Here is a 26,911-nt window from a genome sequence, read left to right on the forward strand (position 1 = left end):
TTTCCCTTTCCCCAGGTCTGGGCACACACTGTCAGTCAGTGGCCCCTGACTCAGAAAGAGGTTTGATTTAAACCATTTCATTTTCTGCTCTCAGACTGGGAATTTATTTAATATGAATGTCATCATTATAACAAAACTCAACTGTATTCTAGCAAAAATTTGGCTGATCTATGAAGAATATTGGAAGGAGAATCTGTGAACCCAAAAATACTAGACCACTGCTTATTCAGTTCTGCAATTTTGTCACTTTAATGGACTCTTCAGAGTGCCAAATCACTAGTCCTACTGACTATACAAAAATTGGCCATCAACATGCCTGCCTCCAACAAATTGTTGCTGTTACTTCATGTTATCCACTTTGGGCTTAGAGACTGAAGGCCAAAAAGCATCCAATTTTTATGGTAAAAAAGTGCATCAGGAGGGCAACTACATACAAAGTTACCCTCCCAGTTTGACCCTGTCCTTAAGTTTTTATTGCCTGAACTGGCACCAAAGAAACTCCTTGAAAATAACACATTCCTTGTCCATTCAGTGGTTAATGATGCTTAAAAAAAATCACAGTTTGTGACTGTGACCTAAATTATGCCAGAAGCTGTAAAACCATGGTTTCTTTAAATTCAAATATGACCCACATGCTTTAAAACCACTACACTGACCCTATAGTACTGTTGCTGAGTGTGCGTGTCCTCACATAAACACAGACACACACACACACACACACACACACACACACACACACTCCCCACTTGGCATTAAATGACTCGATAAAAGAAATGGTATTTTTCAGACTTCCATGTTAAAAAAAAGGCTCATGAAAGAGATGTAAGTGAGCTTTAAGCCAAACATTTGTTTGGCTTTGCTGCAGCAGGCTGCAGGAATGTAAACTTTTTTTTTTTTTTCAATGACTTCAGCTCCTAATTTGAAAGCTAGGATTTTTAGGAGTGAGCAAGAGACTATATTTGGCCAAAAAATTCTGCTGGCTTTACTTAGCCAATCTGCACATTCAAAACAATACTTCTTTATCAAAAAAACAATAGTCTGTTTTATTCACAGCACATGTAGAAGTTGGAACATCGACTAAATTCCACTTTCTTCTCTTGCAGTGTGTCTGTAACCAGCTAATGAGCTGCAACAGAGCCTGGCCTTCATTTTCAGCAAATTAAGTTCATCCCTCATAGGAATTGTGGTCTGGCTGTGGCACCGCTCCTAGGTATGGGTGGGATTTGTTTCTTCTAGCAGTTGTAGGTTAGCCACATGGGTACGTGCTGTCGCACCACACAACAAAATTTTCTCTATAATAACCAGTCTAAGTAGGCTTTTACCCCACAAAAGTAGATCCCATTTAATTTACTTTGTGTTTATAGCACTCCCTCTCAAACCGCACCATTGGCACAGACTAATATTTATACAACTTTTTATTTTAAACTATTTATTTGGAGTTGAGACTTCAGTAGCACTCCCTGTCAGATTCATTGAACAAGCTTAAATTCAGGATACTGAAAATGTAAATTGGGAAGAGGGATGTATGTTCTTGGGATTCTTTTCTCCCGTGCATGGACACCCAAACAACTCTCACTGTAGTAAAGGGAGGTTACACATGTGTTGATAACATTTGTATTACTGCTGGTAGGAAATTGAACATTGATGGGTGGTTTTAAAAGCCTGCTTTTGCCTATTGTGTTTCCACATTTCTTTGCCAATATAGTTGGTCAAATTAGTTATGCAAAATGCATCTAAAAACTTCTAATCCAAAAGTGTCAATGTTGTTAAAGATTTCTTTTCATACACAAAGAAATATTACATTGCTCCATTATTTTAATGGAAGTCGTTAGTCAAATACGCTTTTGCCACAGAAAGAAAAGGGAAAAAATTCTTAATTTTGTATCTGACCTCTGCTTTGGGGCCTTACTTTAAGTTACATTTTTCTTAAATAAAGCTTTTCTGTTTTTTAAAGTGAATGACGGGATGTTAACTTTAAATAGACATTTAACCACATAAAGTATAGTGGCAGATGGTTCATTTTTCTACTCAGGGTAGACACTTTATTCAGGTAATGATATTTAATCCTCATTTTCTATGAAATCTGCATGTTGTTCTTAAATCTGATACTATTTTGTGATTTAAAATGAGTGTTGGGTTAACTTTGTTTACAAGTGAAGTATTTATCCCTTTGATTCTCTTTTACTTTCTTCTTTTGGTAAACACCTATCCGTTTCTAAGACCCACTTATATGTTATCTCATCAAGGAAAATTTTCCCATCCTCCCAAAGGAGAACAGAACTCCACTGTAGTGGAATAAGTTTTTTGAGGTATGAACCAATGCTTCTGTCCTCCTAATATTCTTACAACCTCTAACCCGCCTCTGCATTCAGGAAACCAGAATACATTAGGGAGGAGACAGCAAAGGAAAACAAAAGACAATAAAGGAATCGATGTATTTGTTTTGTAACTCAAAGTTAAAGTCCAAATTTAGAAAATAGATTTGAAAGCATAACGGGTCAATTTCTGTTGTGCCTCTGAAGAAGAAAGTTGAGAAAGAACGAAGAGGGCTTAGATGCTGGTGGGTGTCTGCAAAAAAGCCCAGACAATGCCTGGAATAATAAAGAAGCAGAGAACTTCCAGGGAGGAAGGGAACAGTCTCTAAGATGGAGCAGGACCTGGGGAAGTCTTGCTTCTCCACTGAAGAACATGGACCAAGACCAGGGCAGAAGGGATGGCAGCTTCCCCGTAGAGCAGTGAGGACGGATGACGACATGAAGACTGGACTGCTCATTCTCACCTTCCCTTCACAGTCCCTGGCACTTTTTAAGCTCCTTGGAAATTAGAGGCAATCTAGGAGAAAGGGGGATAGAAGCAGACCTTATTTCTGTTACAATGTGAATGGGAGCTTCAAATTGAAGATAAAATGTTATGGAAAAAGTGAAATTATATATATATTTTGCACATCGTAGCTTGGTGGCTTTAGGTTTCTGTGCATCAAAGGAAGGAATTGTGTCTTCCTCATTGTCATACTCTGGTATTGGAGATTGTGCAACATATATAGTAGGTATGCAATAAACAGCTGTTAACAGAATGAATCAATACTTTGTAGAGTATTGCCAACCACTCCAGAGCTTTGATCTGGCTTCTCTGTTGGGTCAGGAAAAAAAAGAAAAAAGGAGTCCTGCTTTATTTGTGCCTGTTGCATGCCAGCTTGGCCTGTTTACTCCTGTGGTTTCCCGCATTCCAAAGCAATGCAACGTTGCTTGAAGTTACACTTGAGCATTTTCTAGAGCATTTCTTCTGTCCATCCTACTTGCAGTGACTCCACTTCAGTTCCTTGTATGCCAGCTGCTGTGATAGCTTGCTGTCACTAAACATCTACATGTGTCCACCCCAGAGGAATTAAGTGGGACCACATTAATGCTAGGGAGCTGGCGGTCTTCCAAAACTGCACTCTGGGTCATTCTGTCTTGTGCTTTGGTAAAGTCTTTTCCCCCATCGCCTTCCAGTGGGGAGAGGGATAGGGTACAGCCTACAAAACAGAAACAGAATGCCCAGTGTGCGGGTGGAATACTTCCTCTTTCCTTCGTGAGTAGAGGAGACCGATTCAGAGGATGTTCCACTTATTCATTCCCTTCTAGTGTAATTTTTGCTCAATATTTTCTCTTTCTGTCACCTATAAACCAGAGGGGATATCCACTGGTATACTGCGTTGTGTGGAACGAGGGGGACTGTTCTGTTTCCTCCTTCAGCTCTTGTGAAGGCACTTGCCATTTCCCTGATGCACCATTTAGACATCAGTGTCCACATCTTGTAAGTCAAACTTGTGTCATCCAAAAGGTTCTCATACACATTCAAATGTTAATAAATGCCAATATCTTGTTCATGACCTTACACATAAATCTGAAATATGTAAGAAAGTGTAAACTACCCTCCTTTTTACCTCCACTCTTCTCTCATATATCAGTTCATATACTGCTTGTTGCAAGTAGCAGAAAACCCAATTCAAACTGACTTAACGGGCATGTAGGGGCCTCATAACTGGAAGGTGGTGTGGTGTAGGTGGCTCTGTTGTGTCAAGAAAACATGGTTGTTTTCTGTCTCTCCACTCTGACATCCAGGGCCTCCTTCACAGTCGCAAGATGACTTCCAGCAGCTGGCACAAGGATTACCTGTTTCTTTTTGTTCATATCCTATAGACACATGGTAACTACTAAGGGACCTTCTTTCTCAGAGCCCTCTGGAAATATGTATATATATACTTATATATATATATATTTTAATATATTATATATAATATATATTTGTGTGTGTGTGTGTGTGTGTGTGTGTGTGTGTGTGTATCTACACATATATATGTTTTTTTGAGACAGTCTTGCTGTGTTGCCCAGGCTGGACTGCAGTGGCACCATCTCGGCTCACTGCAACCTGTGTCTCCTGAGTTCAAAGGATTCTCTTGCCTCTGACTCCTTAGTGGCTGTGATTATAGGCACGTGCCACCACGCCTGGCATATTTTTGTATTTTTATTACAGGCTCAGTTTCGTCATGTTCCTCAGCTGGTCTCGAAGTCCTAGCCTCAAGCGATCCACCTGCCTTGGCCCCCCAAAAGTGCTAGGATTACAGGTGTGAACCACCATGCCTGGCCTGGAAATATATGCTTAAATCTTACCTGCCCAATTTTGAAACACATGTTATACACATGCAATGAGTCACTCTTCTCCTTCTTTATCATTTATCACTTCTACTATCTCTTTGGGTAGTAGATAAAAGGGAATGAGGACACTATAACATATCAAAATGGGCCTGAATGAGACTGCAATGAAGAATATACCTCCAGTTTGCACTCCAGCCCAGGTGACAGTGTGAGACTCAATCTCTCTCTCTCTCTCTCTATATATATATATATATACTTCCAGTGACACGGACTTCAGCTGCTTGCAATTAATCACTCTCAATCAATCAATTGACGCCGATTGGGCTGTGAAAATAGTTGGGTGAAGCTGTGTTCAAGCTCCGACCTTACTGTTTACCAGATGTGTAATCCTGGTCAATTCATCTACCCTTTCAGAAACCTAGTTTTCTTATTAAGATCAAACAAGATATTTGCAAAACCACACCAATAACTTCTGCATTCTCCAAAGGCCAGGCATTATTATTATTGCTTTTTCAAATGAAATCAGAAGATTGATCTTCATTAGGAGTTACTTTCAGATCTACATTTATAGATTTTACAGTGTATCAGTCATTAATTTTCTTAAATATCATGCTAAGAAAATTATTTGTGAAATATTTTTTATTTATAGATGTTATAGTATTACTAATACATGAACCTTAAAAAATAATTAGAATTCTCAGCACATCCTAAGAAAAACTTTTTATTCCATAACTAATTTCTAATTTTTGAAACACGGATGTTAAGTGTAAAGTTAATTGTTTTACAGTTTTGAGTTAATGAACATGAAAAACAATACCTCCCTTTCCATTTGAACTGCCTTAAAACTCAGAGTTGAATTCAGACCTTAGCTGGGGAAAGTTCTATTTTAGATTCTTCTAATAGCTATCTCTTTGCTTTGTTTTATTCATCTTTATTCTCATTTACTTTCAACTGATTCATGCTATCTACGTATTTCAACATTCTGAGTAGCTTCATATTCTTTATGGAAATTACAAAAAGGAAAAAGAAAGATATGAAGGGAGGGAAAAAAGACAGGAGAAAGGAAAGAGTAGAGAGGGTGTTGGAGAAGGAATGACAAACTCTGAGCCAAGCAGTGGCTTGCAAACAAGAAGGAATCGATTGGAGACGGTTGGTGAGAAGGCACTTACAGGTGCCAAAGAGAGAAGAAATAAGATCTGGACTGAAGGTCATGACAGTGAGAAAGGAGATCAGGGGATAAGCTTAAGAACTTTTTCAGGTGAACAACAAAGAAGACTTGGAAACTCAGTGATCAGGGATTGGAAATGATGGTGATGGTAAGTGGAATATCATTGATGCTGAACATTCAAACCTCACTGATGTCAGAAAAGGTATGAAGATGGGGTGGAGCAGGGGACAGAGATAAAAGTGCCAGACATAGTGCTAGCCAATTTACAGAAAGCGCTTAACTTTACATGAATAGTCTTATTTAATTCCCCAAATAACCATTTGAGATATTAGTATTCCTCTTTGCAGATGAGTAAATTTTAAAAGAGCAGGGTTTTTGTTGTTGTTGTTTTTTGAACTGGTAATTCTGACTTATACAGACATGACAAACTCCAAAAGGAAACCCAAGCAGCTATTTGGCTCCCTTAATTAATGAAGTCGCCCAGTATGGATAATTCAGGTAAAAAACAATTACTCCTCTTTCCTCATCAGATATCATGTTGTGATCTTGCATGTGTATAAGAATATGTGTTTGGAGAAGGAATTATTTTTACTGCAGAAAGTTTCTTCTTTGTGTTGGTTATGTAACATTAACTTCACTCATATAGCAACTTGGATGTGCCTGGAAAATAGCTCCATTATTTTGTCTATAACTATTCTGGTTCTCTTATAAATATAGAGTCCTATGCATTTTAAAATTCAGTCCAATCCAATAATTAAAACCATCCCTTTAGGTAATGCTGTCTCTTTTGGAAAACATGCCTAGTCTCCCAGATTTCTCAGCCTTCTGTCCACTTCCAGGCACCCCTTCAAGTTGGTGTCTGGGTGCTTTCACAGTCTAGGAGTGGTAGGGAAGAGCTGGTATTCTTTGGTGCAGAGACCTGTTGATCCTCTGGCTTTTGGGGTGCTGTCCTTCTCTATTGTCTTGCTGGCACTCATAGCTGATCTAGGCACCTTTTATGTTAAGTTGATCAACTCTCCCTCCCCTTGGCTTTGGTTGATGCTACAGAACATCTGTCTCTGCTTTATTCTCAAGTGGCTCCCTGGTGGAAAGCCCAAACTGAGCCTCTGCCATGGAAGCACCTTGCCTGCCAGTTCTCACCTCAGCTGCCTCGTCATTTCCCCTGGGGCTTAGATGCAGGGTTTTGTAGAAATTCCTAGTTTCTATCCAGGCCACATTGAAACTCAGAGGAGTCTAGAAAGCCATTCCTCAAGGTTAAGAGATGAGTTCTCAGCAGGGGCAGCTCCAGAAGGTTGCATTCTAGAGTCAGGTATGGAATTTGGGACTGCTTTTCCCTTGAGCTTCCCAGCACACAACTACTAAGAAAAGAGAAAGCCAGAAAGGGAAATTGAAATGCAGTCTCAGATTGCTTTCCATCCTCTACCATTCTCAGCTCCCAGAAACAGAAGGGATGGGCTTAGTTCTCCTTTAACTTTATACTAAGCCCTTGTATATACAGCAGCAAGCCTCATGACCTAGAGAGTTCATAGGTGGATGGCATCCTCTCTTTATAATGAGAATTCTGATTGAGTCCTCTAGCTTAGTTTTGAAATGTTAAGTAGGTACTGAAAGAATTTAGCAAATCCATTTACTCTCCCCAAAGCCTTGCTTTCAAGCTAAATTCTTATTCTTTCCTGACCTAAAGCAGTAAGTTTTCTGGCTTGGCCTTGAAGATTAGACCAAAAAGAAATGTGATTTAGGGAATGTCATGAAATACACTGGTTATTATTTGCAAAATACTGTTCCTGGTACAGTTACATAAACACAGTTAAAAGTCCAGAAATCTATGTAGCTGAATGTGCGGTTTGCACTTTCTAGCTTCTGGTAAAATTAACATGACAATCACTTTCTAATCAATTTTGTCTAGCAAGTAGAAAAGGTGGAGAGCTAGTTTTATTGTAAGCAAAAGGTTGATAAGAACTTAGTAGATTATATTTAGTATACAGCCTATAAAAAAGAGAAATAATTACAGCCATAGTGACAAAAACAGGCAAACACTTCTTTTATCAACAAATAACGAATTAACAAAAAAGGTGACTTTTACAGTGTAATGTTCCTGAGGAGTTTTTAAACTGCCAGTTTTAGAGATTGTTTTCTAAGTGTTTTGTCAGAAGAAAAAGCTTTAATAATTTTTATTTTTTGAATGCTACAGTGTAGAGTTTTGTTTTATGTGATAGCAAAATAAATTCACTTCTGTTTTACTTTATTTTTTCTCATTCTATTTCACCATCTGTAGTGGGCCTGGTCAGATAGAGGTGAAAATTAAGTTACAGTAACATGAAAAGTATACCTAGAAAATCATGTGAATTCTTTAATGAAGGTTCTGCATTTACTTTACTTGAAGAAATATTTCCTTCGTGGTACAGACTGAAAATCAGAAGTATTGAATTAAATATTTGTAAAAGAATAGTGAATTATCCACTGTTGCATTGCATTATATATCTTAGTCTTGGTATTCTATTCTAATTACAAGGTAAAATTTCTCCCAAATTCCAAGTTTACATTACAAATAAAACACATATAATGGCCACAACTCCTAAAATATTCTCCGAAATTATGGGCACATTTATTCATGTTAACATGAGGTTTGCATTTTAATGTAGAGGATGGCGCTGTGGATTGCTTTTGCGAATAATTTCATTTAAGGACAGTTTGACTTTGTAAGAACAGATAAAACCAAAGCCAATTATGACATGAACTCTTCTCTCCTGTATGCATGGAACAGCATAAATAGAGAAGCTTGTTCTTTACTGCACTTGTCAAATCTTAATGTTTAAAAGTCTTAAAATTCAAATATATATTTATATCAATAAAAATTATACATAATGGATGGAATGCTTGTAGCTGTACTCTTTATTTCCCCCCTTCAATCATTATATGAGTATTTATCACTCATACAAAAGTATACATCTGTAACTTCTTTAGTTTCGTTTCTTGAGAGATACCAGTTCCTCTCTTCTTTCTTATGAACCTAGAAGTGCAGATGTAGTATAATATTCTCATCCATGTAATATTATTACAGGGTTTTTTTTCTGTTGTTTCTGGTGGCTTAATGGCAAAAGTGAAATTTTTAAGATGATTTAAAAATTTCTTCTTCAAGTAGTAATTTAGGCAACACTTCTGAAGTGTAATTTGACTTGAGGAATTTGGTACATATTTGTATAGTGGGCAGAGGCTTATTAAAATTATATTTACATACGATATGAAATGATATGATACTTAGAAATATTTTAATTTCAGGACTATACTTTGTCATGATTTCTGGAAATTTTCATTTTTGGAAAAGGGAATTTTGCTGACTTATGCACACCACAGTAATTATTGCTTTTAATGTAAAATATGGCTTAAACCTGATCTTTCTAGTAACTATACCAGGACACCAGTGATGTTCTTTAACTCTCCTTTGCCCTCTGGAGATAATATACAATTTAGCATCTAAAACTATAATACATCATTGTCAAAATTTTTTTCTTAAATATATGAAAAAGAATACATTTTTCAGATAGTTATGCCTTCACTTTGTAAAGTTTCTTCTTAAAAGCAACACAAAAATGAAAATGTGGAAATGGAAAAGAACTCCTTTTTTAAAACTATTATTCTTTGGTGGGATGGGGGGCTAAGAGGGAATCAGTTAACATGGTTTTTAATTTGTCTCAAGGCATGTGGAAAGAAACTGGCTTTCTAGAATGTACATGGTTGAGTATCGTACAGAAATAAATATCTCCCCCTTGGAATTTAAATTGTATCTAGTAGTACTATTTTTATACCTCTTACTAGGAAACGAAATACCTCTAAATTTAGTGCTTTGGAATTTTATTTCCACTAAAAATTTCTTCAGATATGTGAGCACCATAGTAACAGCTTTGAGAGCTGATTCTTCATTACAGTTCCCCGATAAGAGCTTCACTCAAGACAGTTCCTCTGGGATGACTGAGACTAAAAATCAATTCTGATAACATTGGAACAAATTTAAAGGCCGAAAAAAAAAAAAGAAAATCAGAGAAAGCATGCATGCTGTGGATAAATAGAGCTTCCCTTAAAAATTCTTTTTTCAGACAAAAATCTAAAGTGCATTTTCTCAAAACTTTTTTATTTCTTGTATTATTTTTATACCTAGGTAGGATTTTTCTTGCCTTTGGAAAAAATAAATCTCTTACCAGAGATATGAAAAATTCAGCTGAATTTATTTATGGCCCTAGTAAAGGTCTTTTCATGCTCTACAATGACAATATTTTTACAAAACCTACAGGTAAGTAATATGGGTGTGGAAAGATGAATGCAATGAATCTATTTTAATAAAAAGTTAATAATTCATTATTTTCAAGAAAATCATTGCCTTTAAAAAAACTATGTAGTACACTAGACTGAGCTCTGATCATCTTAAAAAGAAGTCTGTCAAAATAAATCAGGTTGATAACTGATTAGCAGAACGTGTAGTCTGTCATTTTTAAATATGTGCCCAATTTCTTCACATAAATCTTACCTTTAAAATCTTCAAGGGGAAAATTTATTTTGGGCACATTGGCCATGAATATCAGTTGACATTTATACAGCGCATAGAATTTATACTGTGGGTTAGGATGTCGGCCATAATTCTAGACTGATAGTTTGTAAAGGGAAGATTCCATTTTGTACTGTTTATAAAATGTTACTCTGCAGTTCCGTGCTCCAAGACTAACAAAGTCTATCCAAGTATAGTCAAGCACTGCAGTTTAACTTATTGCATTCATTAAACTAGGCTTAGATTGTCCTAATTATATGTTATCAACAATTAAGAAATGGATCACATGCCATAGATTGGCTAAAACATTCTGTATTCTTGGCTGGATGCCAGTGGAGGTGTCAAGTTCCATTCTACCTTGTCATCAGCTGCATCTCTGCTTTTGCAGTACAAGCAGCAGCTGTGCTAGACAAAATAATCTAAATTCTCACGTGTACTTTTCCTTTAGGAAACAGCTCACACTGAATTGCATTTCTAGTGTGAATGGTACTACACCTGAGTGAGTTTGTGCTGAAACGTATTTTATGCAAATAATTTTTAACTGATATAATCTTTCATGACTTTTAAATGTGTTTGTTCTATCAAAATAATGGTCTTACTCTTCATGCTGAAATTATTACCAAATGGATTCTGTGGGCAGCAAAGTACTCTGCTCATTCGGCAATGATTTTCCTATACCTCAAATTACATAATTTTATAGGTGCTCTGTTTCAAAGGAAAACAATCTTTATTGATCCAAGTAGTCAAAATTAATCATGGATCTCTGATCTCAAAACTCCTGGCAAAATCCTTTTATTCAGAACACCCATATGCTAGACGCTCAACACTTCACAAATCCTTGTGGGAGGATGGGTTTTTCAGTCTGATTGTTCAATCTAGTGCAGCTTCTGAAAGTGGAGATTCAGCAAGGCTTTCCCCTGAGCAGAGGCAGGCACAACCAATTTTATGAGTAGCTAAATTTGACCTGGCTTTTGCGTTACATTGTCATCTTTGTTCTTGGTAATGTAAAAATGGGTTTTAGAAGTTGTTCTCCTTTCCATGTGTCTGACAGAGGGAAGATCCTCCCGCAGCAGCAGGTGTGTGTTGCAGCAGGATCTGAGAGTCATGGTGCCAGAGCACCATGCTAAGTAAATAGAACCCAACAGCTGGGTCTCCTTTGCTCCTGGAATAGATCCTGTACTACACAATCATGGAAAGTTAGTCCGCATGAGAGGCAGTGACTTTAAAGTTCACCACAGAATTTACATATGTGTTGACATGCATTTTCAGGTCACCAATTTACTTGGTTATTAAAAGCTTTACTGCATCATATACGAATCAAAGTGGAGGGGTCATGCCAAGTCCTTACTCAGAAGGAGAAGATAATGGAAGAGATGCAGAACACCCAGGCAAGGTCTCTACTTTATATACAGCTTGTCCTAGGCCATTTTGTAATGGCATCTGCTGAGACCACGTCTTACTGGATCATTTAACTTTTCAAATTTTGCTTCACATTCAGAAATCCTTGTGATCCTGTGCAACTCACAGAAATATGACAATAAATTCCTTCACCAAAACTAACTTCCTGGAAATAATAATTTTCTTTGATTTCACAAAATATATTTTTTCTTTGTCCTTCAGTAGATGATCTATTTAGGGATGCCGGCAAGTGCTCTCAAGAGAAAACGTATTCTGTTTCATCCAGGTAATATATCAACCCCTCTGCTCACAAGCCAGCCAATCAAATACTATAGTCCCATCATTTATATACGTCCTCTCTCTCTCTCTCTCTCTCTCTCTCTCTCTCTCTCTCTCTCTCTCTCTCTGTCTCTCCCTCCCTCCCTCCTCTGTGCTGTCTGCTGTCATCTATCTGCACTTGGGTTAATACTGCACACTGGGCTATAAGAAATGCAATTCTAAATAATCAGTTCTTCTGGCCTTTGGACAACACAATCTTGGTGCAATAATACATTAGTAGTGGATTTGCCCATTTGGGTAATCATTTATCTTGGCATACGGGCAGTGTCTGTCCTTAGTAATTGCTTAGTGACTATATGCTGGCTGAGGACTCTAATTTGACTTGCTTTCTTTTTATATAACCTATTTATCTAGGTGCATCTTTCACTCTGCTTGTGATTTTTGACTTTTGGGGGAGTTTCCCAAGAGATGTTCAGCATTTGGTTGGGGGAAGGTGATTAAAATTCCCTTTCCTCTTCAGATTATTTTTCTTCTTTTTTTGTTGTTGTTAGAAATAACTTTTTTCACTGTGTACTTTTTAATTATCTATTGCCTATCTTCTTATATCTTTATTTACTCTTTTGAAACAGACCGTTTTGCTCTCTTTTGTCAGCGTTTTCTCTCCTCTTACTCTCCTTTATGCTACCATTTAGGTTCATGCTAAATTGCTGGGACAGCTGCTTTCTTTGACCTCCTCTCGACTTTGCTGACCACATCACCAACTGGCAGGGTGTGGTGCCTTAAGACCTTCCAAGAGACTTACTTCCAAATGGAAATAATGGAGTAACATTTTGTATGATAAAACATGAGAGAATTCCAGTAATCTTAAGCATTTTAAGGTACAGCATATTGCTCAAATGATTATTAAAATTCTGAATCTGAAAAGCAGTTGATCTCACATTGAAACTGCTTGTAGAATACCTGATTCAGATAGTGGTCATTGGTTAATAACAGCAACAGAAGGAAGCCCTGGGACCCATCTAGTAGGGAACCCCTCTTCTTCTAGAAAGTAATGCACCAAAGCTATTCTCTGTAGAAGACTGTTTTGTCTTTTCTTAAGAAATGGAAAGGAAATAATTTTTAGATTCCTGTCTATTGTCTTACGACTTTTATAGCTATTGAATTATTTGAACTAAATCCTCTTCTTTTTATTAGCCTCTTCTTTCTCAAACACATATACTTACAACTATACACACATGCTCACAATATAGTGGGCAAAACAGGCTTTTTTGTTGCTCTGTATCATTAGGAGGAAAATTATTTTTTCAGATCATAGGAGTAGAGGTTTGTTTCATTTCAAAATACTTAGAACTAGAACCAAAGTTGAGTGTGTTAGTGCCGAGAAACATTTCTCTTGCTTGAATCAAGAGCCCAGTGCATCATTTTTGCCACTTTCATTCTTCTTTATTTCATCAGCAACCTTCTCTTCAGCTACTATGCAGTAAAAAATGTTTGCAAGTAGTGTCTGGTGCTTCCATGTGGTATGCCCAGCTGCTCAGGGGGAATGCATGGGACAGAGGGAGGCCCTTTTATACTCTGTAGCCGGCAGGACAAATCACTGAAATCCTCTTAGATATTAGAGGGGAATATCGTGAGCTATTCTGAAATCTCAAAAGGACTAACAAAGTTCATTCCATTTGTCATTGAAATGTGACAGTGATGTAGAACAAAACCTTTCCGCAGTGGGGGCTGGCTGCACCGAATTCCTTTTGCAACAAGGAAATTAGGTCAGAAGAAATTTAGGTCAACACCTTACAGAGATGTCCCCATGCCTGAAAGGAGCCAGGAGAACTTAAAACATTCCACACAGAAAGGTTATTGTTTTTATATGTAATTTGAAAAATGGTACCTTCCAAAGCTTAATGTCATATAAATTCAGCTATGATTCAGCAAAGAAAATTACCTTTTGCATCACTAGCACTGCTTCTGATAAATCCAGGCACGATCCTGAGGTGCTTCTAACCAAGCCCAGCCGACCGACCCAGTTTAATCATACAATTCAAGACATATTTATCAAGTCTTGATTATGTACAATTAAACTATTAGATAATGTAAAGGTTGTAAATATTAATAAGTACCTCCTCCCACTAACCCCATCTTTACCATTAGGAAGTTATAAGCTAAGGAGGAGGAGAAGATTATGGGGTAAATTAAAATGCAATATAGCCTATAAGTCATTGATTCACTTATCATAGTGCAAATGAACTCCTACTGCATGCCAAAGACTATGAAAGTGATATACAAGAGTTAAAGTAAGTGATTCTGGATGGAGAAGAGAAAGAGATCAGTTTAGTTTGGGGTGGACAAAAAGGAATACTTTCTTGAAAAAAGGGCAGTTTAACTGAACTTTAAATGGATATAATTTCAAAAGATGGAGGTAAGTAAGAGGTCCCTGAGAGGAAGTGTTGGGAAGAGGGACACAGTGGGTGGGGATGCCTGGACGAGGGGAGGCAAAGAGACCCCATGGCTGAGAATGTTAGGAGGAGAGAAAAGCATGTGCAATGGCAAAGGGGTAGACAAGAATGTGCTGTATTTGGGGAACAAATGACCCATGTTGATTATATTGACCACAAAAGGCAGAAATTGAAGTAGTTAGAAAGGGTAAGTCAGAATCCTATTTAGACATGCCTTGAATACCAGGCTGGGGAGTGGCATGAGTAGGGTGAGCCATCCTGTGGCTCCATGGAAAGGATTCTGGTGACTTGGATGGCTCTTCTCACCAGTCACGATGGCTGAATACAGGCTAGCAAAGTTATTCCATAAATCCTAAACCATTGTTCTGGAACGTCTTTAGATATAAAGTTACTTGATCAACATCTCTACTGTCAATATTGAATGTATATTTCTTAAGCAAAACAAGTGTAATTTTACTAAATCCACTTTTTAAAGTATCCCAACTGAAGTCTAATTTGGCATTTGGCCAGTTTAAACAAAAAAATGAATGAGAAATATAAAAAATGAACACGGTTTTTATTTTCATTGGTTATGTGACCACCTTCTCACTACATACATCAGTTAGCAAAGTCTGCTTTCAACTGTGGAAATTTCATTATCACATCTAATTCTGGTTTGGTAGCACATTAAACTTTCAAACAGTTAATGACTCTGGTTTTCTTTCTGTTCAGCTTTACCTTTCATAAAGCACCGGCAAGAGGAAAGAAATGACAGTAAGACTGAATTATGAACTTTAAAAAGTTGAGAACAAGTAACTACTTGTACTGTGAAAGCTACTCTCTCTGCTGTTGATTAACTGTCTGCAATAGGTCAGTGGTGAGCACTGTGTACCGTGGCGATGATTGTTGCAGCAGACAGGCAGAGTAAATCACAGAGATGAGTGGGGGACCCAAAGGGAGGAATTTCTTTTAGCCTCCTATTTAACACATAGAGATTACTGAAACTCTGCTTTCATAAAATGGCTCATTTCACAGACTAATTTCCAATATCTTCCATAGATCACAATTTTAACAAAAAACAAAACAGCATTTGTAGTGAAGAATAGATTAGTTTTTGCTTACCTTGAAGTTCTTTGGAAATTGGTGAGTGAAGACTTTTTGAATAAGACTTTGATGCCAGAACTTTGTGGGTGGAGAGCAGGGAGAGGTTGTGTGTATGTATGTATGTACATATAATCTATATATAATATATGTATATCTATATATATGCACAGTTTCATGTATAACACACATATTTACACACACATGCACATTCACAATATATATTGATGGGAATATCAGGAAGGAAGAAAGAAAGATTAGCTGATCTCTTACCATATTTTCTCCATTGAGATTGGTTCTAATATCCCTCCATTTTAGATGAATCTGAGGCTCAGAGAAGTTAAATAAATTAGATAAATAAATAATTTAATTGCATAAATTAAATAAATGTAGGCCCAAAGTAAAAAATCCAGAAGATAGTGGGATCCTAATCTAGGTCTAACTGGTCACCAAAGCTCAGAATACAGGCTCACACTCTTTCCACCTCATCCCCTGCTTTCTTTTCTTTATTCTCCTGCTAGTGTTATATCAAAATGTGTAAAAATGGTTCTCAAAAGAAATACAATAAAGTAAGTAAAAATGACTTAAATTTATTAAAAAGATGTTACTTAGCCAAAATGAAGACCAGAGAGGAAAACACACCATGAGGCTGGATGTGAATTTAATGACAAAGATGACTCTCATTTTCTTAGCAGCCAAGCCAAAGAAACAAAAGTGAACAATATACAAACGAGTTACTCGGAATTACCCCCAAAGAACAACATTACAGTTTTATATGGCTTGTTTCTTATGATGCCCTTTGTCTGTGATGTTTGCTATAGCTCTCCGATGGTCTAGCTCAATTTCTCATTTTATCATTATAATCTCATACATTTTTATGCATGGTGCACACATGGACTCCTTGGCACAAAGAAATAAAATGTTGAACAAGTCCACACCTCAGGCTATATTAATCCTCACTGGAGAGATAAGCTGTCATCATTAAGAAGTAACTGTCGAGTAAGGGGGTTGATCTAGCAGACTATAGAGAATCCTTACACCGTAGTCATGCCATGGTCATGTATGTGCATCTTAGTGTGCCTGTGCATGTGTCTTACAACACCCTGTCATATGTCTTTGTCTTACTTTGCCATCTATTTATTATTCTCATTGTTACTCATGAAGAAGCCTTTCTACATACCTTCAAATGACAGTTATTTCACAACTCTATACCGTTTTCATCTAGACCTTTACATGTTCTGATAATGGAGTCTATGCCATCGAGAACATTTGTAATCGTAAATGAATGCCTTTTTGTGCATCGGTTAGGTGGGATGACTTGTAAAGATGAGGTTTGTAAAGAAGAGTTTGAAGACTGAAGATCTGCTAGACAAAGTAGAAAACTAAGGAACCTGATGCTGGCTCCACAAGTTCTCACACTTGCTTTTAGTTTGTTAAAAAAAAAAAAAAAAAAAGAGTAGGCTTCAAGTTCATTTTATTTGATTGGGTGCAATAGTGTTCCAAGAAAATATAAGATTACTTTCCCTCTTGTTTGCCTTGATATATATACTCTGTAGGGAATCATAATTATAGAAAAAAGTTCTTCTTCTTTATTAAATCTAATTTAATATAAACTTGCTGTTTAGAAAAATACTAAAAATGAGTTTTACTAGCCTGATTTGTTTTTACAGAAATACTATCAACCGAATAGAACTGAAAGAGAAATCAAAATATTCTTACATCCATTCTGAATCTAACATTCTCCAGTATATCAGAGAATCAGGCTCCATAAAAACGGCTAAGCAAACTAGGTCACAGATAACAAGGTAGCAATTAAAATGACTATATCAATTATTTGGTTATTTCCCAATATTTCACTCTGTAGGATCTTTTATATAGGACCCTCATTTAGTACTCTACTATGAAGAGAAAACTGTTTTTTAACATAACATTATTTATAGAATCATTTAAAATATGATGAATGGGAAACGAGCATTCATTAAAAAGGCTGGGGGGGATTACCAGAGAGCTCTCATTTAGAAATATCTTCAACTAAAATGACTGAATTATAGTTGATGTGGTAAAGAAGAAATTTAATATGTTACCTAAAGAATATCATTTGGAATGTTTTAGTTTGTCTCCTCTCTGCTCTAGGAAATATGCTTTCTCCAATAGTGGATTTCCTACTGCACTTTACATCAGTGCTTTTTCCACTGTTGTTCCTTTCTTAAACCTAGATTAACCTATTACTTTAAAAACCTGGACCTTTTACAGTGTTCTAGGAAACCAAGCCTGAGTGACCAGAGACTTGCACAAATGATTTTATTGAGCCTGTTCTGTTTATTTAACTGCTCTTATTTGATCCTTATAATTGAATTCTTACACCCTCCCAAAAGACAAAACCTTGTACTTTGAATTGTACCATACATTAAAACGAGTTGTTGAGAGCTTTCTAGTATTACTAAACCTCCTTATGGCTTTTTGGAGCCAGTTCTCCTGAGATTATGTTTGGCTGTCAGAGGGAAGTCAATAGGAGCAGGGGTTTCAAACTATACCAAAGAGCTGAGAAAGATTCCACTGATTCAGCATCTGTCCTCACTGCCCTAGGTAGGGTTCACTAGCATATATTTTCTAAAAAATAAATATTAGGGAAAGTATATGTGGTCAGATCCCATGCTGCATGCTGGGGGATTCAGGTTTGGTCCTTGCCCTTGGACAGTTCTATTCCCTTTATGTACTCTGATTAAAATCAGTTTTACTGCACAAAGATTTGTTTTCAGAGGAATTTCCCAGGAAAGCCTTTTTTCCACATTTCAAACTATGGTCCTACTGTCACATTCAGAATTTGAGATCCTTTTAAAAACAGTAATAGAAGATTCAAACTTATGTTACTACTAGTGAATGATAAATTTCCTTTGAAATGACTTTACACATTTAGGCTATCGTTACTATGCTACTTTTAAACTATGGTAGTAATTGAAGAATTTTCACGATATGGCTTTGCCCCAAAGTGTACCAAGTAGGAATTTGATTAACAGCAACCAACCAAGGAAAGCCTAAAGTTCCAGCGCTGGTGTGTTATTCCTTGTCTTCAATGTGCCTTAGGATCCTTCGACATTTCTGCTCCACAGTTGTGACGAAGGAAGTTCTGTACAAAATGTGACCATTTTAGGCAGAAAGAAAAGGGAGGGGAAAAGGGCACATAAATGTGCCAGCTGAATGAGTCTCACTCAACAGCTTCTGCTTACATTTATTGGTAGAACTTAGTCATAGGCTCCCTACCTTTAAGGGAGGCTGGGAAATACAGTCTTTAGCTAATTATACTGCAACCCTTAGCTACATCGGGTTCTGTTCATAAAGAAGGAAGAGTAAATTGTTCATAAAGAAGAAAGAAGAAGGATATCATGTTGGCAACTAATCATCTCCGCTTTAAGTCTCAAAATAAAAAATAGCAATCTGGGCCAGACATGGTGGCTCACACCTGTAATCTTAATATTTAGAGAGCCCAAGTTGGAAGGATCACTCAAGCACAGGATTTTGAGACCAGCCTGGGCAACACAGTGAGTGAGACCCTGTCTCTACAAAAAAATTAAAAATTAGCTGGATACTGTGGTGTGTGCCTGTAGTCCCAGGTACTTGGGGCATTGAGGCAAGAGGTTACTTTGAGCTCGGGTGTTTGAGGCTATGATGAACTATGATTGTAGTGCTGTACTCCAGCCTGTGCAAAAGAGTAAAACCTTGTCTCAAAAAAAAGGAAAAAAAAAAAAAGAGAGAAAAAGCAAAAAACAAGCAAAACAAAAACAAACAAAAAGACAAAAAATAGAAATGTGGCTCAGAGTTTTAAATAAAAACAAAACTCTAAGTGGTCAAAAGAATGTAGTGTCTAAGAGAAAAGTTAGGCTTATTTCCTAACTGTGCTAGATTGTGGCAGTTTCTTCCATATTTGTTGGCTGAATTCATTTGAGCTACCATGAGGTAGAGAAATAAAACCTGGACCAGTAGTCAGGCGAAGGAGGTTCCACTCTCAAATCTGCTGCATTGTTACTTGCAGTGAATTTATCTTTCTGAATTCCAGACTGAATTAATGATTTTCAAATTTTTCTTAAAGCAATGAAACACTTTGTTCAAACAGAGGCCACCTGTAAAATACCCAGCACTACTTGGGTTGAAGTTGGATGTGGTGATAGTAGATCAGAAATCCTACTTGGTTGGCTGGGAGCAGTGGCTCATGCCTGTAATCCTAGCACTTTGGGAAGCCGAGGTGGGTAGATCACTTGAGGTCAGGAGTTCGAGACCAGCCCTGGCCAACAGGTGAAACCCCCTCTCTACAAAAATAGAAAAATTAGCCAGGTGTGGTGGCTCACACTGGTAATCCTAGCTACTCAGGAGGTTGAGGCAAGAGAATTGCTTGAACCCGGGAGGCAGAGGTTGTAGTGAGCCAAGATCGCACCACTGCACTCCAGCCTGGATGACAGAGTGAGACTGTCTCAAACAACAACAACAGCAACAACAAAGAAGTCCTACATGGCTTCTGAGCCTTTTCCTGACTTTAATATTCCACATGTCATCATTAAGGCGAGACCAAACCCTAGTTGCCCTAAGAAGCCATGTGGTACCACTTGGAGTACGTCTAGGCATTATTAAATGTAGTTTTCAAAACACTGTCTTTTATTTTGTTCAACAAATGAATTACATTTCCCTTTTCTTTCTGTTACTCATTTTCAATAGTCTCCATTTTGTAAAACTTCTTACTACATTCTTTTCAAACTGTGGAAATAGTGTGTGGCTCCTGGGAAATTCTCAGAGGTTTAAATTTTTGCATTTTCCCCAAAATTTGTTTGGTTTCCTACATGGATTTTTTTTTTTAACCCTCTGCCCAATACTTAAATCACATTTACAACATCACACATAGCTCATGGGGAGAATAGTAATGTTTTTGCTTCAAAGGTCATCATAACAGGAGGTCAGTGAAAAATCAAATATGACTTTAAAAACATAAGAGCAGAAAGACACCCACAAAACTGGGCATGTGGATTGAGCGCTAGATGGGTGGTCAACCCAACCCAGACACTCCAGCAGTAGTCCAACCACATAACATACCGGAAAACTCCAAAGTTGCTAACTAAGAAGCTAGTTTTATTTTATTTATTTTTTTTCAAGAATTCTATTTCTAGTCACTGCTATCAAGAGGTAGAAAATGTGCTGATTTCTTGTGTTACTTCATATTGGTCTTTTATATAAGGTGTTTTTATGAAGATATAAAATGTATTTACACTTTGGGGTTTTATGAACATAGAATAATACTCAATAACTCAGCATTTTCTTAGTGTACCAATTGAAATCATCAAAAATAACCTTTAATTTTTGCATACTACATGTTTATAAGTTAAAAATTTTAATGAGCTAGTAGTTCACATAGTTTCATTAGTTTATTTTTTACTATTCTGAATAGAATCTTAGACTTATAAAATCTTATCACTTTAATGTTGCCTGTTAATTCAAGATTCCATGAAGTATTTTCTTTTGGTTGGAGATCAAAGTTTTGGAGTTAATCATATTTTAAACATAATGAAATTTATAAAGTGTATGAATTGCTGAACTTTTTATATCCGTTCACATCAGAAAATGTGTCAGACTGAGTCTGGCTTTTGATCACTAAATTAAAAAAAAAACCAAATACTTGTTTAGTTATTAAAGCGTATTATGTGGAATATTTGATACTCACATCCATATATTTATTTTGGTCGTTCACCTTTAAGATAGAGTTAGAGACAATTCTTCTTTCACATGCAAAAAGAGTATGGGATAAAAAATGTCCTTTACTGTGAGTTCATGTCCTTTGTAGGGACATGCATGAAGCTAGAAACCATCATCCTGAGCAAACTATCACAAGGACAGAAAACCAAACACCGCATGTTCTCACTCATAGGTGGGAATTGAACCATGAGAAAACTTGGACACAGGGTGGGGAACATCACACACCGGGGCCTGTCTTGAGGTGGGGGGAGGGGGGAGGGGAGAGGGATAGCATTAGGAGAAATACCTAATGTAAATGATGAGTTAATGGGTGCAGCAAACCAACATGGCACATGTATACATATGTAACAAACCTGCATGTTGTGCACATGTACCCTAGAACTTAAAGTAAAAAATAAAATAAGAAAAAAAGTCCGTTACTTTTTTTTTTAAATTGAGTTGTAATTGAATATCTCTAGCTTAGATCTTTTCCCTTATTTCCAGACACACACATGTATAGTAACTCCTTGACATATGAAATGGAATAATTATTAGAGAAACATGAATAATCCAAAAATTCACTTATCAAAATAATTTTCCTATAAGAAATTATAGCAAAGGACTTTGTAACATACTTTTCAAAGCTGTGTGGCTTCCTATTAATTTTCTATATGTTAACAGACTGAACCAAAACACCAAGGACCACAGTCCTCCACTCTTGGGCACCCCTAGAAGAGAAGATTGACACCCACTCCTCCTGTTCTTACCTTCTTGGTATGCCCTGTGGAGCGCTGGCCAATAAACATAGTCAAGGGGAAGGATTTCTCTGGCTTTTTTTCTTTCTTCCACCAGATTTCCCAGTAAGCAAGACAACTAGAACACAGTTGGTTTTTTGTTTGTTTGTTTGTTTTTGTTTTGTTTTGCTGTGATTCAAGGCTAAATCAAAATGAGTAAAATTCAAAAAGCAAATTTTGCAATGTGGAAAATTCAAGTATAGCCAACAATTTCAAAACTACAAAACTACAAGTCTAGAGTTAGCAGCAGCTTACAGTGAGTGCTGTTGACTAGTTTACTACGTCTGCAGACCGTGCAGTGAGAGTGTGTGGCCCAGACTGAAATGCATGCTGTTTTGAGGGCTGCAAGGGTAAACTGTATACCATATAAACCAAGAAGTGTGCTCTAGTCAATTTTCTAGCAGCTATCCCAGGTTACCCCAACACTGACCTCATCATATTCTCTCCTCAACAGATTCATTTTTTAGTATTCCCTATCTCACCTGAATTACTGTAGTAACCCTCTGGCTCCCCTGAGTCATTTACACTTTGGCCAGAATGATTTTTCTGAAACACCAATCTGATGAAGCCACTCGCTGAAATGTCTAAAGTGGCTCTCGATCAATTTTAGCGTAAAAATCTAGACATGGCGTAAGAGGCTGTTGACCATCAGGGCCTGTCTTTTAGTCCAGCTTCATTTCTCTCTTTACCCCTGTGTACACCAAGGCTCCAACTGCATCTAAAGCCTGGAGTTTTCTAAAAGCACCTTCAGGCCCATGCTTTCATGCTGTAGCATCTGTGGTTCCTGCTGCTTGGAATTCCCTTCTCTATTATTTGGCCAGTTACTCATCTTTGAAAACTTATTTCAGCATGACCTTTTCTGTGAAGTTTCCTTGGGAATCTTCCCTGGAGCCCTCTCATCCTCCAGCATCTTTTAACATAGCATTTACCTTGGGGATTTGTAATTGTGAATTCACCAGGGACATCTCTGAATGCAATGGGTGCTCTTTGTATCTAAGTGTTTACAATGTGTAGTTCAGTGCTTGACCCTCAGTAGAAGCTCACTAAATAAATATTTGCTGAATGAGTGAATGGATGGTCAGAAACCATACGACTTGGCTTGGAATGGGCTGTTCAGTAGTTTGTCTCTTGGTGCATGTAGAATCAAGATCACAAAGTATATCCAGTTGGACTAGATTTCTTGTTGTGTATGTAAGCCTTGAAAACTGAGAGTCTAGTGTACATAAACCAACTAAAATTGATCTCTGGGATAGATAAGAAGATCCTAAGAGTGTCCAACTACTAGTGGTAGTGACAGTGGTGGAGGTGAAGAACCATTAATTACTAGGATATAAGAATCAAGATGTGATTGTGGTGCTAAGGAGAAATTAATTTAAATATTTTCCATTCAATTATATTTAGGAATAATAAAAATTCTGAAAATAGTCTAAGTTTTTGCTTTTAAAAAAATGATCAAGTTTGAGGCTGGGTGCGGTGGCTCAGGCCTGTTATCCCAGCACTTTGGGAGGCCAAGGCAGGTGAATTGCTTGAACTCAGGAGTTCGAGACCAGCCTGGGCAACATGGTGAAACCCCATCTCTACTACAAATACAAAAATTAGCTGGGCGTGCTGGCATGCACCTGTAGTCTGGGAGGCAAAGGTTGCAATGACCAGAGATCGCGCCACTGCACTCCAGTCTGGGTGATAAAGCAAGACCCTGTCTCAGAAAAAAAAAAAAAATCAAGTAAGAAAGTAATTTCATTTCAGTGGGGAAAGTATTTGGTTAATATTCTTCCTGGATGTTTATATATTTATATAAATTGTGTGAATTTCCAGTAAATGAAAAGCAGTCCTTGTTATTGTTTATCTAATATTTTTATTACAGGTTCTCTAAACATGAATATGCCTTTGGGGGAAGACAGAAGAACATGGAAGCCATGTGAAAAAAACGGATCCTAAGGTATAAACAAAGTGCAGATGATTGTCGGCCATGCTGCAGGGATTTCTTGTTTGTCTTCTCAGTAGTGTTAGCTAATTTTGTCTTCCAATCCGCAATTCCTTATAGGACTTGGACGCTTTGAACCTCTCAGGACCCCTCAGATTCTAGTACATAAACTCGGAGCCAAATTCACAGCCAGCTCTCCTTCAAACTGCCTTATCTGTTTTTGAGTTAATTAGAAGGGCCTTTTAACAACTTTGCATTTGAGTCCTAAGAAAAGTCTAGTTCATTAGGCAATAAAGCCACTGTGCTGGCCCCTAATCAAGGTCAGTACATATCATTATACGACTGATCCAAATTTGAGTTGGTTCAGTTATTTCATTTGTTCATTGTCCACAATGTTCCAGTCACAGTACCAGGTGCTCAGAGTGTGGTGTTAGAGACAAGATTCAAAGTAAGTAATTTTAGACCAATGTCATATGCGCCATTATAGAAGTACGGCTGAAAATGGAATTTATATAAATAAGCATGTGAGTGGTTCACTAAACAGGGATGGGCAAGAAAGACCTTACAGAAGAGATGAATATCTTAGCGAATAACTTAGCAGGATTTCAAAGAATGGACGAGAGTTTTGCAGGCAGATGAGATAGGAAGGGTGCCAGAGAGAAAGGAAAGCATGGGCAAGGGCTCAGGAGGTGGGGAAAAATGTGATATAGTTTGAGGTACTGGAGTATGAAGTTAACAAGGGGAGAATATTTAGAAGGAAGGATGGAGAAGTAGGCAGAGAGCAGATTATCAGGTTAAAATATTAGAAATTAGTATTGAAGTTTACTAGAAGCCAGCAGCACGTTCAATGCAAGCAGGTGCCATGGTCATATTAGTTTTAGTTTAGTAATCAGTGTAGAAGGTGGATGAGAGGGGGTGAGTCTGGAGGCAATAAGCATAGTTGGTAGTAGCAGTCTAGGTGTCACCTGACAGGGGCCTTTACTAGCCCAGTGGTGGACATTTTTAATGCATTAGTCTTTCTTCTAGTCTGTGAATTTCTTATAACGAGGGTGTGGTCTTCCTCACACTTGTTTCTTCACACTTGTTGCCTACTATCATACCTGACATGCAGTAAATTACCATAGCAAGACAAAAAATCTCTTAAACGTGTACTCTTTATTACTCTGTTGGACCATGATGAGAGCAACTTATTGTATGGCTATTTAAAATTATTTATGAAGATAATATTTTTTGTGTTGGAAATGCTACAATAATTTAATTGTGAGATTTATAACTAAGACTTATTGTTCACATTTGTTTTATGTTTTCATATATGTGATGAAATAGACAATTTACTCTGTAAGTCTTAAATATAAAAATGATTCATTATTTCTTTCTGAGCCAGGGATATACTTGAATTTCTTTTCTCCAGTAGTAGCAATAGATGTATACAAATTAACATATATTTCTCATTCCATTCTTGTATAAAATAGCATACATAACTAGTTTGAACAGCTAGAGCATAATAAACTCAAACTCTTTATGGATTCACTCTTTCCCTACCACAGTTGAAATATTAGGTAAGTTCTATATCTTTTTCATCGCCTTTTGGACGATAAAAGAAGTACTCTAGTCACTTACAGTCAGAACCCCATTTAGGTAATTAAAATGACTAGTCCATGCAATAATCAGTAATCTCAGGTTCCCGTAAATTTAAAAGTTTTCATTTCCCATGTTGGTTCCACTGCCATTCCCCTAACCACTGGCTCTGGGTTTTTCACTGTTCCTTGGTGGAGAAAGAGGGAGGAGAGGCAAGGGCAGGGATGCCAGTGGTCTGCATTGCCTTGTTGCATTAGGCTGGTGCAAAAGGAATTGCAGTTTTTGCCACTACTTTAAAGTCAAAAACCGCAATTAGTTTTGCACCAACCTAATATGCTCTCAGCTGATGTGGGACACTCTTGTGGGTTCTGCAGAAATTCCCTCACTAGAGCCATCTAGTCTCTTTCTCTCTTGTTTGTTTGCTTCAATAGCTCCTCAGCTTCTACATCAGTTAGTACCCCATAGCTTCTTTATGCCAAGGTTGCCTCATCCTCAGAAAAAAAATCCTTTTAAAAGAAACTCTTACCCAGATGTCATCTAAAGAGCCCACACTGGGTCATGGAAACACCAACCTCTGCTTTATTGTCTGTGGAAGTGCAGCTGGCTCCAAGGACAGCTGTATCTCTTTGCATTGCCTCTAAGTAGGCAACTCCAGATATAGAGTCTTTTGCCTGAAATTTCTCAAAGGTAGACTAAACACGTGTCTCCTCTGTCCTCCAAGCTTTAGGGAATCAACATTAAACTCTCTGTGAGGTGTTCTTGATGCCTCTCTTACAGATGAGGGAGATGAAAAGTAGCAACAGCCTCCAACAACATTCTACAGAGAAATTCTTATGTCTCTCAGTTTCCTCAATATCAACTGTTTCAGACCCTTGAGTAGATGTTGAGTCACTAAGCAGTTTCAGTCCACTTCCTTTCAGGTCTTGTTTAGGAGGTCCATTGCCTTATTTTAGAATGTGGGAGAACTTGCTACCTATTGTTTCCGTTTTGATTTTGGGGGCCTCCCCCAAAACTTAGATAGAAAGAATCTTTCCTGAATACCTTGTTACAGAGACAAGTGTAAGATATCTGTAAATCATGGCCATAAACTAGAATAAAATGAGTTGGTTTATTGGAGATGTAAATGCTTAACCTTGGTGTACAATAAGCACAATATTGATGTACAACAATGCTGAGCATCATTTTAAAATGTAAAATCAAACAGAAATCAGTAAAATCAACAAAAATTCCTTACCATCTCCTAAATGCTGGTTTATTCCAGGTGCTTGATATGCAAAAATTAAGCATATGATTCCTTTCCTCATGGAGCTAGCTATCTAGCGAGAGAATAGAATGCTGAAATATG

At 37.3% G+C, this 26,911-nt stretch overlaps 1 long non-coding RNA gene across 8 annotated transcripts in view; it reads left to right on the forward strand.

Annotated features, from left to right (window-relative positions):
• The window catches only part of MEF2C-AS1 (MEF2C antisense RNA 1), a 584,252-nt gene that overhangs the window by 58,583 nt on the left and 498,758 nt on the right, over positions 1-26,911 (forward strand). For 4 of the 8 annotated variants that reach the window (NR_136219.1, NR_136222.1, NR_136217.1 and 1 more), the window contains exon 3: positions 23,929-24,003. The exons of 1 other annotated variant lie outside the window; for it this stretch is intronic. This is a non-coding gene — a long non-coding RNA (MEF2C antisense RNA 1). Of the gene's footprint in view, positions 1-1,103; positions 1,211-23,928; positions 25,368-26,911 lie in introns of those variants that run through there. 3 more of the 8 variants (NR_136218.1, NR_136220.1, NR_104031.1) reach the window with 2 other exon arrangements.

Source organism: Homo sapiens, chromosome 5 (assembly GCF_000001405.40).
Source record: "Homo sapiens chromosome 5, GRCh38.p14 Primary Assembly".
Taxonomy (NCBI): domain Eukaryota; kingdom Metazoa; phylum Chordata; class Mammalia; order Primates; family Hominidae; genus Homo; species Homo sapiens.